Genomic DNA, 14,683 nt, shown 5'->3' on the forward strand with positions numbered 1-14,683 from the left:
TATGTGGTCCCGGACAGTTTTTTTCTCTTCTTTCCTGATACTGTTCACTGCAGCTGAATTCAGCTATTTTTGCTCCTCTGTGATACTTCCAGATTGTTAGACACGTAGCATGGCATGGGGAAGTGCAAGGAGACTGAAGTCAGATCAGCTTCATTTTGAGCCTTTGTCAGCTGCCAATTGGGTTTTTGACCTTGGGAAGGTCACTTGACCTCTCTGAGCCTTTCGTTTTTCTTCTACAAATGGATTGCAAAGTTGTGATGTCTAAATGTGATGATAACTGTGAAAGGTTTTGACATAGAGGTCATTTAGTAAGTCTTCCTTTGCCCTTGACTGAGCTAATATCATAATGATTCCCATCCCTTCTTTTAAAAGAGGCATTATATACACACTTAAAATTGCAGTAAATTTGAAAGCTGTCTTAAGAATTTGTAGAACCCATTGAGATGATTATTTAAGGTAACAATTTCATCTGTGTTCTTGACTTTCGTTTAGAAACCTTATCCTTTCCTTTTGTGGTGTCAACCTGCCAACATTGTGGGCTCATTCTTTCTGGCTATAAAAGTGTTCAAATGTTTTCTGTGTACAAACAAAACTAATATTTCAGCTCAAATGAATAGCACATGAAATGGGAACAAACAAAAATACCTCTAAAAAAAAAAAGCAAAAAATAAAACCCTTCTTAGTTCTCATTCCTATTTATCAACCTCCTTTTCTCTTGCTTTTATAGCTAATGTCTTAAAAAAAATAACCCATAATCACCATGGTCACTTTAAAAGAATTTCCTTTTATTTCTAAAACTGATTTCAGTCCACCTTCCAACCCTACTACTCTATTGAAACTACATTCCTCAGGTCACAAAAGACCCAATAGCAGAATCTGTGGGACACTAATAAAGCATTCTTTTTTTTCTTGGAGACGGAATCTCATTCTGTCATCCAGGCTGGAGTGCAGTGGCGCCATCTCAGCTCACTGCAGCCTCTGCCTCCCGGGTTCAAGCAATTCTACTGCCTCAGCCTCCTGAGTAGCTGGGATTATAGGCGCCTACCACCACGCCCGGCTAATTTTTTGTATTTTTAGTAGAGACAGGGTTTTTAACATGTTGACCAGCTTGGTCTTGAACTCATGACCTCAGGTGATCCACCCGCCTCGGCCTCCTGAAGTGCTGGGATTCAGGCGTGAGCCACCGCGCCCAGCCCACTAATAAGACATTCCTTTTCTTTACTTGCTATCTTGTTCTCATCAAATCTGTCCCTAGCCATTCTTATTACTTTTGTGCAGACAACTCCCAAAGTTGCATTCAGCTCACATTTATCTTTTCAGGTCTAAACTCATATATTCATTGGCTTTCTTGGCATTACCACAATGTCCCAGTAGAACCACAGTTGAGTGTGACTAAAGGTAAATCCACTTCAGCACGTATTCTTCATGTATTTTTTATCTCGACTAATGACACTATCATTCACCTAGTTGTCCACTTTTAGCTATAATTTATTGAGGTATAATTTATATACAGTAAACTGTCATTTGAAGTATATAATTAGATCAGTTTTGACCTATATCCACCTGTGAAACCACCACCACAGTCAAGATATAAAAGATTTCCGTCATCCCCAGAAGTTTTCTCATGCCACTTTGCAATGTTTATCCTCTATCTACCCTTGACCTAGGGAACCAAGTTCATTATCTACCTTTAGTCACTAGAGATTCGTTTGCATTTCTATAATTTTGTATAAATTGCATAATTTATATAAATTTCATATAAATACAAAATGTTGTATTAGGGTTCTCCAGAAAAAGAGAACCAATAAGATAGCCTATCTATGTCTATACATAGGCATAGATATATATCTATAAAGAGATTTAAAAAAATATATATATAAAGAAGTTTATTTTAAGGAATTGGCTTGCTTATGGGAACTGGTAAGTCCAACAGTTTTAGGGCAAGCTGACAGGCTGGAAACTCATGTTAAGATTCTGTGCTACAGTCTTGAGTTTGAAGTTTGTAGGGCTGGCCAGCAAGCTGGAAACTCAGACAGGAATTGATGTTGTAATTTTGAGTCTAAAATCTGTAGGGCAGGCTGGAAATGTAGACAGGATTTCTATGTTAGTGTATTGAGTCAGAATTCCTCTTCCTCTGGGAAATCTGTTTTTTGTTCTTATTGCCGTCGACTGATTAGATTAGGCCCACCCACATTATAGAGGGAAGTCTACTTAAAGTCAACTGAGTGTAGTTAATCACATTTATAAAATATTTTCACAGCAACACCTACTGTATCTTAGCCAAGTTGACATACAAAATTGAGCCATCACTTACTCTTTTTGCATCTGCTCACTTGTACTCAGTAGAATGACTTTGAGATTCACCCATGTTGTATTCAGTAGTTCATTCCTTTTTATTGCTGAGTGTTTTTTTTTTTTTTTTCTGGGACGGAGTCTCACTCTGTGGCCCAGGCTGAAGTGCAGTGGTGTGATCTCAGCTCATTGCAACCTCTGCCTCCTGGGTTCAAGTGATTCTCCTGCCTCAGCCTCCCAAGTAGCTGGGATTACAGGTACCCGCCACCACACCCGGCTAATTTTTGTATTTTTAGTAGAGACGGGGTTTCACCATGTTGGCCGGGATGGTCTCAATATCCTGACCTTGTGATCCACCTGCCTCCGCCTCCCAAAGTGTTGGGATTACAGGCGTGAGCCACCATGCCCAGCCTGCTGACTGGTATTGTATTGTATGAATACATGACAGTTTGTTTAGTCATTCTCCTATTGATGGACACTTGGGCTATTTCTAGTTTTTGGCTAATATGAACAATGTGTTATGAACATTGGTGTTACAAGAGTTTCTGTGAACATGTTTTCATTTTTGGGGGGTAAATATTTAGCAACCCAATGGTAGATGTTCGTTTAATTTTAAAGGAAACTGCCAAACCATTTTCCAAAGTGTTTATACCATTTTGCATTTTCACTAGCAGTGTTTGAAAGTTCCAAATGCTCTACATTCTCTGCAGTATTTGGTGTTAATCTTTTAAATTTGAGCCATTCTAATGAGCTTGTAGTGGTATCTTATTGTAGCTTAAATTTGCATTTCTTTGATGGTGAATGATTTTGAGCATCTTTCCATGTGCCATTCAGATATCTTCATTTATGAGATGTGAGTTTAGATCTTTTGCCCATTTTTCTTATTGGGTTGTTATTGAGTTGTGAAAGTTCTTTTTATATGCTGGATATTAGTCCTTGTTAGGTATATGTATGTATTGAAAAATATTTTATCCTATTCTGTGGTTTCTTATATTCTTATTTATATTATATATTTTATTATATATTTCTTACATATTATCTAAAGGGTGTTGTTTTGAAAAGCAGAAGTTAAAATTTTTTTAAAGCCTAATTTGTGAGGTGTTTTTTGCCTACTGTAAAGTCACAAAGATTTTTCTTGAGTTTTCTTCTAGAAGCTCTGTAGTTTTAAGTCTGTGATCCATTTTTGACTTTACCTTTTCCGTCACTGTCTATATTTGGATATCACTTGTAATAGATTTCTGTTTTAGAAAGGACTCATCCCCTTCCCCCAACCAGTAAGGACTCTCTTTTAGAATATTTTTGTTAAAGTGCTCGTTGTTTTTGTCTCTCACATTAAAACACCCTTCTCATTGGTGTCCTGCATATCATGTCTGCCTTCTCCAATCTATTTCCATAATGCCATAATGTCATAGGTTATTACTTTAAAATTACTCCAATCATTCGTGTTACTACCCTGCTGAAAAATCCTCAATAACTGTCAATTTCCCAAGAGTTGCCTAAATCTAGGTGATGTCACTTGTTGGAATCTCCATGTCATACCATATGACAAGGAGAGAGTGAATCAGCCAGTTTTCTATGTAAAGAATTAATCAATCCCTAACTTGGAGGACTTAGCCATAACTTCTGTTATTATATTTACTGCATTCTATTGTCATTATTTTGTTAGATTGAACTCTTTTTAATGTATTACCTTTGATATTCTTCCCAGCACCTCCTAGACCATTGTGATACAGGAGACTTTTTTTGAGGGAATAGTTGAGGAACCTTGGCAGTTAAAAAGACAGCGCTGGAAATCATTGACTTGAAGGGCAGACTGGGCAGCCAGTAAATTTTGGGTGCTATGTTGTTTTTAAAAATCATTTTATACTTAGAGGGGCTAACTTAAAGAGAATAATCTGGAAGACTAAATATAGCCTTTAGTTTAATTAGGAAATAGCTTCTGTTGAACCGGCAGTGAAGATGTGATGAGGAGAATGGTAAGAGTAAATTCATTATTTATTCTTTTGGTAGGAATAAATTCATTATTCTGAACTCCCTCTGACTTATTGTATACCGTGCTTATTCCATCAGGGCCTTGCTGTTGTTTTGCTCAGAGACATAGCTATTTAAGTGTAAGATTACATATTTTTAGAAATAATACAAGCGTGTGTTCAAATTAAGTTTATTCTTTAGAGGGTTTTTTTAAATGAAAGTAGAGCTCCAAAAAACACCTTGTAAAACTTCTATTACTGCTATTCTAAGGTAGTATACAGGCTAAGTATCCAGGAGATAGAATAATTTAGTCTGTGGAGTAACTGTTAGTTTATTGATTAATGTTTATAGCTTGATGATGTGGTATAGATTTTGAGTCATTCTTTAGCATATTTGCTCATATTATGCTTTGGAAATATTTTAAATTAAGCCTTCTGACTTCTTTGGTCCCACAAGGTTAGCCGTAGGCTTGTATATTGTTAATTCAGGGAATGTTAGTGGCTGGAGTAATAAACTCAGAGGCTATTGAAAATTTGTAATGATTTTGTTGTATTCATATGTAATTAGACCCTGTCATGCTCCTATTTAAAACCTTCCAGGGGTTTCCCATTGCACTTAGAATGAAATCTGAATGCCCTCCTAGGCCTTCATGCTCAGCCTTATCTCCTACCCCTCCTCCCCTTGGTAGCCTTGCTTCCGCTACTCTGCCTGAGCATGAAAGTGCATGATCTCCTTAGGCCTTTGTATTTGTGGTCCCGTCTGTTGGTAATCTTCTTTTCCAGACCTTCAGATTTTTTTTTTTCTTCAGGTTTCATATTAAATGTCACCTCCTCAGAGCAATCTTCAGCAGTCTCCATTCCTCTCTAGTCACCTATTCCATTACACTATTTTAACTGTCTCCATGGTACTTGTCACCCTGCCTCTTGTTGGTCAGTAATCCTCAGGAGAGTGGTTGCCTTGCTGTATGGTTTACTTACTGCAGTATCCCAGTGCATGGAGACACACAGCAGGTGCTTGGTGAGTGTGCAGAGGGATGAATGTCATCTGTATCATCATCCTCACTGAAGTAACTGACAGTCAGAAACAACTTGTGACTAAATAGGTACTAATTGATATGATTGTCTGTTTAAATTACTCAGTAATTGATTCAGCTTTTCATTACGTAGTACAGAATTTAATTATGGTAGAAACAGATACTGTCTTTTGTGGCTGGAGCTATGCAGATTACAGGGTTCTGTCTCGTATTCAATTTGTCGGGTCATGATTTCTCATCATATCAATTCTTTAATGTAGCTAAATAATACTCTTCTTTTGGTTTTAAGTTTCGATTAATTCCAGAGGTGTTTTGGGACTTGCTGAAGTATCATCAGGCCATGTGTTCTGTTTTTTTTGAGTTAAAGCTTGGCTGAGGCAGGCTGGTAGATTGAGAGCTCTCTGGGCTGGAGGTCAGGAAGCCCAGCCTCTGGTTTTAGTTCTGCCAGTAGCCAACTGTCCACATGAATATTTTGGCCCTCAGTTCCCTAATTTATAAAATAATAGAGTTGAATGAAATGGTCTCAAATGTTAGTCTTTTTTTAACAGTGTATAATTATGTAATTCTGGGCAAGAACCAGTCATTTTGCGCTTGTGGGAATTTTTATAGGTTGTATGCGTATGTGGTATATATGATAGTTGTCCAGTTACCATTACGCTTTTCAAGAAGGAATAGTCGAGTTTGTTTTACTTAACTGAACATTAAAACATCTGAAGGATTCAGAAGTGGTCTAGTTTATTTCAGTTTTTGTTTGTTTTCATTTTTGTTAGTGGCTGCAATAAGAAATACTGTACATGATTTATTGGGCATATTGATTTAAAAATTGGCAGTATTATTTAAGTGGATAATAAAGTTTTGTCTTAAGGATACTTATTTGGCCTTCTCACAGTTTGAAGGTTCTCAACCTTTTTCTTCTTTGGAAGTCATTTGAGAATTTTATGATTGACTTGGCCTCATGTGTCCTACTTTAGCACATCAGTTTTACTTAAGGTTCATATCATTCTTCATTGACATTAGATATGCATCAGTTTTAAGAAATCTTATAGAATGCTGAATGTTCCATTCCGTGTTCTGTAGTTCAGTGCTCATCAGAATCACCTTAGGATTTGTTAAAACATGGATTGCTGCTCCCCACCCTGAGTTTCTGATTCAGTAGGTCTGGAGTGGGACCTGAGAACTTGGGTTTGTAAGAAGTCCTTAGGTTATATCACTGCTGATCCAAGAACCATGCTTGGAGAACCTCTGCTGTAGTTTGTCAAATTCTTTATTTGCATGTGCTGGCAGCATTTTGATTAAGGAGTCTTCCTTACTGTATACTGATGCATCTCAACAATACACCTTGTGGTCCTTGGATTCCCTCATGCTATATGATACCTCATATCCTCTCCAGCTTCTTGGTTAGTGTGATACATAACACAGTTTTCAATGCCAGTGGAACTCTTAACAACAGGATGCTGCCAGTAACTTTAACCTTCCAGGTTGTGTGTTTCAATGGGAAAAGCATGCATTTAGACATTTGGGTTTATTCTTGAGAACACTGGCTTTGGAATCCAAAAGGCCTTGGCTCAAAGGTTAGCTTTACCACTTATTTGACTATTTGAGTTTGGGAAAACTATGTAACTCTTCTAAATCTTAGTTTCCTTAATTTAAAAATTGTTGAAATTTTATATTTGCCTCATAAGATTTTTGGGAGAGCTTAAGTAAATTAGATAAGGTATATAAAGTGCTCCGTAGATACTCAATAATTGATGGTCTTAGAAAAGTTTGTACATCAGTCTAAATGATTATAACTTTGATGTGGCTTTGGACAAATTTTCTCTCCATTTCATGTCTTGCCTTAATGTGGGTTGCTCACCTAACCTGCCTACCAGGGCCTCGCCATGGACAGTAGACAGGTGTCTGCTTCATCTTACGTGTTTGGAAATGCTATGTCTTGTTCCTGTCTAACCTGGCTCTATCACTGGGCTCTCAGTTTTGGCTCCTGGCTCCACATCAGGCCTTTCCTGCCCTGGTGACCTGTTGCTGCCTGTTTCTCTGACGCTCACCTTCACTTGTGAGAGTCACTGGGTTCTGGAGTGGTTTTGTATTCCTCTTTCTGGCTCCATGTGAAAAACAGTGTGATTAGAGGTATATCTCTACCCTCCCACCTGGGATAAGATGATTTTTTTTTTCCACCAAATTAATTATGTTAAATATGTGTGATTTTAATTTATAGTCAAACTGTCTTCTGCATTTTAAGCTCCAGTTTTAATGCTGCATGTTCATTAGAAACATAGCCTCATGAAGATAACTTTGATTTATTGTATTTTCTTAAAAAGGGCCTATATTCACCAGATTTTCATTAGCTTGGAATACATATGAGAAATTTTTAGCTGTGAGTCTTGCTGATTGGAATGAAGATTCCCCTAAGAAACTGTTTTAGTGACTAATAAAAGTTTTGTAAGAAAGTGCCAGTTGCCTCCATCACAAATAACACTTGGTAGCAGTGTTGGAGGTTCAGTGACTTGTCATTGTTTCACATTCTTTTTTGTTATGGTCATGAATTCTCTGTTGTCCTAAGTCCTATTGTAATATGTTTTCAGCCATACTTTTGATTTCATGCTTTTCAGATGCCAAAGGGGTTTGTCTTTGTTACATATTTACGCAAACACTTCGCTGCCTATTTCCTCTTCACTTTACTGATGCTCCTCTTGCTCAACTGGAGGATGTCTGCCAAGAGGCATGAGTCTGCCTGTGCAGGTGTCTCCTAATCCTGATTTTTGCTTGTATTTGTGAACATGTGGCAAGCCTCTTCTGCTGAACCAAGTAAGGGTTGTGGAGAGAGAACAGAGGCACCAGACATAGACTAAGGTGTAAGGAGCAAGATGTAATAGTTTAACTCAATTGGATTTTTTAATTGGGTGGAATAATTCAGGGTTGCCACACAATATTATCACCTAAAAAGATGTGACTTACTGTGAAGGATTCAATACTAAATAATGGGGCTCTCTCTGCCATATATATTCTTGCTTAAAAGTATCTTAGTACAGTGCAGACATATTATATACAAATTTAATTTACATGAATTCAGCTATATGCACTCCATCTTTTATATTAACTATAAGTGTTATATATGTGACAGAATTCACAAATGAAGGAATTTACAGCAATAATTTCAATAATATGTGATTTTATCCTATTCACTGACTTTAATATCTATCCCTAGGTAAGATAGGGATAAATCTCCTATCCTATAAATTCTTACCTGTAAATTATTTGAGGGAAGGAGAAATAACAAGGGGTAGTGACTCTTGGCGGTGTTAAAGATGGCATAGCAAAAGGCAGTGCAGTGGTAATTTTTGACAGATTAAGATCAGATGTTTTCGGGGCAAAGCGCTATTTGTTTTTTGACTTCCAGTGGTCTGTTTTTTGACATCTGTTTGTGCTGTAGTAAAATTAATTTATTTACTTTTATAATGTTTTAAACACTTAGCCATAGTTTGGGTTGCTTCCAGCTCTCATAAGTAAATCACTTTGATGAGAGTTTATGAGAATCTTTAAATAATTTAGGGACCAATAAAATACTGTTCTTGCCAGAAGATAGAAATGATACCCATCAATGGTACTCATGCTAAAACTTAGTGAGTTAAAAGTATTTGTTTTCAGAGTTTTAAAAAAAAAAAAAAAAGATGAGTCACGTATAGTTACTAGGTCTTGATTCTGCTCCCCACAAGCCTTTCTTTTTTTTTTCTTTTTTTTTTTTTTTTGAGACAGAGTCTTGTTCTGTTGCCCAGGCTGGAGCACAGTGGCGTGATCTTGGCTCACTGCAAGCTCTGCCTCCTGGGTTCACGCCATTCACCTGCCTCAGCCTCCTGAGTAGCTGGGACTACAGGTGCCCGCCACCATGTCTAGCTAACTTTTTTGTATTTTCAGTAGAGACGGGGTTTCACCATGTTAGCCAGGATGGTGCCGATCTCCTGACCTCGTGATCTGCCCGCCTTGGCCTCCCAAAGTGCTGGGATTACAGGCGTGAGCCACCACACCCAGCCCACAAGCCTTTCAATAAATGCTATATTGTAATGGTTATTGTAACAAGAAGCTATTGTGCAGCACTCATGAAATGAGTATCTTTTCTGATCCATGAATAGCACTATTAAGGGGACACCTGAAGCCTTGAAGAAAAGCTTTTCTTTTGCCCTTTTTTCTTGATGCATTTTTTTTTTTTCTCTTAGAATAGCTACCAGTTTATGTTTGGAATACAGCCTAATAACTTGTGCCTTAACCTAATTAAATCATGTTTCTTATGGGGTGAAATGATTGACTGTAGGCACAACAGTCCACATAATGGAAGTAAAAAAGCAATACGGAATTTATAGTTGACTTTTAGAGAACTTATACTTCTCACAATTTTGGTCTGGTCTCTCATTCAAGAAAGGGCCTGAGAATGAGAAGAAAGATGGCCACAGCAAGAAAGGGCCTAGTGTCTGCCACCTGGCTAGGCAGAGCTGAAGCTGCTGGCTACAGCTCAGAGCACTTGTAACTCCAGACCCAGGCTCATGGCCTCCAAGGTTGTGCATTTTTAAGATTCAAGACGATGGGGAGTATTTTGAAGTTATTCTCATTCTCTGATTGTACTTTCCTCCTCCTAGACTTCACATGGGGCAGACAGTGGGGTATGTCTAAAGCAGTGGTTCTCATGAGCATTTGGCAACATCTGGAGACTTTTTCATTGTCACAAATAGAGGGATTACTTTGACATTTGTCATTGGACAGTGAAACATCCTACAATACACAGGATAGCCTCTCAGGAAAGAATTATCTGGCCCCAAATGTCAATAGTGAGAGTAAAAGAGGAATGTAAAGTTTCTACTATAATAGTTTCATCCCAAAGGCTAATAGAAAGAAAGCAGGGACAGAATTCTTATTTTAGGCTTGAGGAGGGTAATAGAAGTTGGTGTACTATAACTCATGGTAGGTTTTGTAGCCATACCCATAAGCTGTCATCTTCAGAAGGAAGAGAAGTTTAAGGGCTAAGTTTGTTCCAGTGAAGGCCAACTTGCAGTTAAGTGAGTGGTGCAAAATCAGAAACTGCTAAAGCCACACATTTGTCTGTGTGCTGAAGAAATGGGAGAATTATCACTAATAAAACCTCATGTTGTTTGCAGATATATAACCTGCTTCAGTACGTGTTAACGTTTTGGACTATTTGGTCATTTCATTTAGTCCTAATTGAACTTTTTGAGAGTGAATTGGAACAGAGCACAAGCTAGTTTCACTGACACTTAAATCAACAGAAGATTATGGGGATCCTTTTTTGAATTCAGTAATTGTGGTTTCCTTTTTGACGTAGTTGCCGTAATTGAGAAATTGAAGCATGGTCTGTTCAGGGCAAAATGAGTCATAAAATCAGAAGATATATAGATATTTGTGGAAAAAAAGATTAATATAGCATAAATGCTAGAGGAGGGGAGAATAATTTGAAAAACTCCTTATTTATAACGAAGGCAATTAAATCATAGCTCCAAAATTAGGTTGTTATAAAACATAGAAAACCAGATAATTGGTATGTTTTTCTGTTTGACTCTCAATTTTAAAGGACTGTAATTGATGTATTGTTTATATTGTTCACTAAATACAGTGTTTGGCTGATAGGGAGGGAATAGAGAATGCATGTGATCACTCAGAGATATTCAGTGCTTCTCCCCCAAAACAATTATAGTGCCGTGGCTGCCAACAGTGATGTCACAGTCAGTAGATAAAGAGCCATTTAAGACTCTCTGTATCATCCTCAGAAGGACAGGGAGAATTTATGTAACATCTGAAGCAGTGTTAAGATTCCTGCTGTGTTCATCATTCAGGAAAGGAGAGAGTACTGTTTATAGAGGGAGAAGCGGTTGCTCTGTTTGTTAGAGCAAAAACAAATTCAAAGCAGTACCTTGGGACTGAAATAGAGAAATAAGGCTGGTTTCTCTACCTTTGTGCTGTGGCTATTAGAGATGGTGTTGGGCAAGATTGATCTACCTAGATTGTAAATTTTAGTACTGTTTATAGATTAGTAACATCCTTCTGGGGAGAAGAAAATGGCATTAATATAGACTTAAATTGTTTGTGGAAAAAAAGTTTCCTTACAGGCAAGAAAAGCGTAACATGAAAGTAGTTTTCCTAATGCCAAAGGCTTTCTCCGCTGCCCACTGTGCTGTTTTGCCAAAATTTTGGCATTGTTCTTTTCTCGGGTCATTACCGTTCATGCTGGATTTGGGGCCTAAGTAAAAAAGGAATATGCTGTCGGTTTAATTTTGGAGGTGAGGAAACCATGCCATCGTTTGGTATGGCAGGAGTGGGCCATGCAGGGGGAAGAGTGGTAAGCTGAACTGAATTGTATTTGAATATTTTCAGTCCATAGCCAAGTGCCTGACCTGCAACAAGTGCTTAATCAATAACTGTAATAATCATAGGTAGATACACATAGGGAGATGACTACTTCCTAAATATATCTCTTATCACCCTCTTTGACTTTCTATCCCTGCCTTAACTCAAGATTGTCATTAATTTCTTGTAGTCAGTTTAACCAGTGATAGCCTCTAGTGTGGTCCCTCAGTTTCTAGTCCCTTCTGCACACTGATGCCAGAGCATCTTCCTAAAAGAGAGACATTACATTTCTTAATATAGGCGTCTGTGGCTAATGCTCACAGGTAAAAGTCAGTTTTTAAAGTGTTCCTTGCAGTGTAAGGAGTAATAGGCATTTTAAAAGATAAACATCTTTATTCTATGTCTACAAGCCCTCTCCAGCAGACGGATGAGTCTGATGCTTCCCATATCTTGAACTTTATGAATGGAACCATCAAGTTGGTTATCATTTATTATTATCACCATCTTGTTGTAGTATCACCATTTTGTTGTTGTTATTGTTGTTTTGTTTTGTGATCCTTAACTATCATTATTACTTTTGGTTGAGAGTTAAGTCCATGGAATCAGACTGTCTTGGCTGTTTTATTTCCTAGCTCTGTGACCTTGGGTAAGTTACTAATCTCGCTGCCTTATTTTCAAAGTTACTGTTCCCATTGTCTTTGCTTTTTGCAACAAACTTTTCATTTAAACATCTGATTTTCTTGATCAATATTAAGGAGAAAAAGTCATCTGCAATTTAAGAATGCTGTTTACAAAGCAAATGAATAAAAAATCATTGACTTTTTTTGTATCTACACTTAAAGGCTGTCCTAAGCTCTTGCTTTTAATAGTAGCTACACTTAGTAGAATGATTTTGGTAAAAGGTTCACAGTCTGCTCTGTGAACTGCCTCTTCTAAAAGCTACCAGTTGTGCCAAAGAAGTAATGACATTTGTCTTCATTTTTTGCAATGGTTTGTGCTGTTTATTTAGTATAAAATTTCTGATGTAACATAATTAGAATGAGTATTTGGTCAGTTAATTGAAAAAGCTGGCTAAAGGAGAATATAAAATGTTTAAGGTAATTTGCAAATACTTTCCCCATCTTAGACTTTATCTAGAGGCAGGGAGGTGTAGAATACCTCTAAAGCGTGCATGCATTCATTCATTTATTTATTTATTTAGAGACGGAGTCTCACTTTGTCGCCCAGGCCAGAGTGCAGGGAAAAAATTCAATTTTCTCTGGAATTTTAGATTCCAGAGAAAAGATGTTTTACTCAGGATGCCTTTTTTTTCTCTCTTTTCTTTTTAGCTTAACAGATTGCTCTCAATTTTTGAAATATAGCTAACCCCAATTATCTGTATATGGTACACTCAGCCCACTGCAACCTCCACCTCCTGTAAATGATTCTCCTGCCTCAGCCTCACGAGTAGCTGGGACTACAGGCACGTGCCGCTACTGCCTGGCTAATTTTTGTATTTTTAATAGAGACGGGTTTTCGCCATGTTAGCCAGGCTGGTCTCGAACTTCTGACCTCAGATGATCCGCCCACCTCGGCCTCCCAAAGTGCTGGGATTAGAGGCTTGAGCCACCGTGCCCGACCTAAAGCATCGTTTTGAAGGGAGGAACTGAGGGGAGCAAAGAATAATTCCTAGTTTAATATTCCGAGGATGACAGAAGCAGGAATTGAATTTTTATTTTAGTTCTTGCCTTGGAACCAGGGTATAGATTTTTATCAGCCTTTTCCCATTTACAGTTTCTTTCTGAACCTATTTTGGTATTTTTATTAATTGATTCACTTGATTGAGTTTCTCCAAAGCATTTAGTTTAATTTTCACAGAAATTACTTTGCCTTCATATTTCACTGGTCTACGTAAATGTTATTAATAATGTAATTACAAGTACAATTAGCATTACCGTGCAGCGGGGGTGGGGGATAGGAATATGCTGTGCATACTAGTGGGGGATCCCATGGTGTTATGGATTTCACCGATGTGTTTTACTGAAGGAATGGAGATGTGTGGGTAATCCAGTGGGTTGGTTAAGTGGAACTTGGTTAAAAGTACATTTGCCCTGTTTAGAGTCTTTATCCAGACTGCTGCCTTTGGGAGAACATTGCTAGTTTTATTAGACCTCAATGGCACTGTATTCATTCAGTATCCTGTCATAAACATTTCATGTCTGTTTTATGTTATTTGATTTTTTCAATAATACATCAATGAAGACGTTATGCCAATAGCATTTTCTATCTGTTTGAAGCTGTGGTCTCCTGAGGCGCAGCAGAGAGGCCCTTTTAAGTTTGTTTTCTTTAAATTCCTTCCTTTGAATTGGTTGTTAACAGAGAACCCCTAGGCTTTATCTCCGGGAGGTGGATCCGCTTTCACTGCCCAGGTGTCCTGGGCACACTTGTATTTTTCTGAATGAGCCAAGGTGGTAAAGCAGGGACTAGAATGGTGGGAATAGGGAAGGATGACTGTTGTCAGAGACAGAGACTAAGCAGGACTTGCAGTGCATGTGTAATCTCACTGTAATTACCAGGGACAAGTTAGAAATCAGTCCCTCCCTTCTCAGTTTATATTGGAATAGTGTCTTCTGGCAAAAGGTGAAAGGTTTTTCCTTTTGTGTGCTGTTTATAACAGAGCACCATTTTATGTAATTCATGTGCTTTCAAAAATAGATGGGTAGTAAGAGGGTTTTTTTGTTTTTTTTTGTTTTTGTCAAAGAGCTGTTCTTGTTCAGTCTACCAAGGTGTGTCACCATAAATTGTAATTAAAACTTGTACATCTTATGTTTTTCAAAACATCAATCTTGAGTTGTAAAATTACCATACCAAACCCTTTTTATACTGTACAACTTGTCTTTTTGGTACTGGTTGGATAAACCAAGAACAGAGTATTTTGAATTCCAGATAAAAGATGGTTTACTCACAATGCCTTTTTCCCCCTTTTTCCTATATATTTCTTATATCTTAGGTTCTTTCATCTCTTTGTATTCTTATGTCTGTTTTTCTGTTGTGCAAAGG

At 37.7% G+C, this 14,683-nt stretch overlaps 1 protein-coding gene across 1 annotated transcript in view; it reads left to right on the forward strand.

The window, feature by feature from the left end:
* PHLPP1 (PH domain and leucine rich repeat protein phosphatase 1) overlaps positions 1 to 14,683 on the forward strand; it is a 264,893-nt gene that overhangs the window by 58,663 nt on the left and 191,547 nt on the right. The window lies entirely within an intron of this gene.

Source organism: Homo sapiens, chromosome 18 (genome assembly GCF_000001405.40).
Source record: "Homo sapiens chromosome 18, GRCh38.p14 Primary Assembly".
NCBI classification, from domain to species: Eukaryota; Metazoa; Chordata; class Mammalia; order Primates; family Hominidae; genus Homo; species Homo sapiens.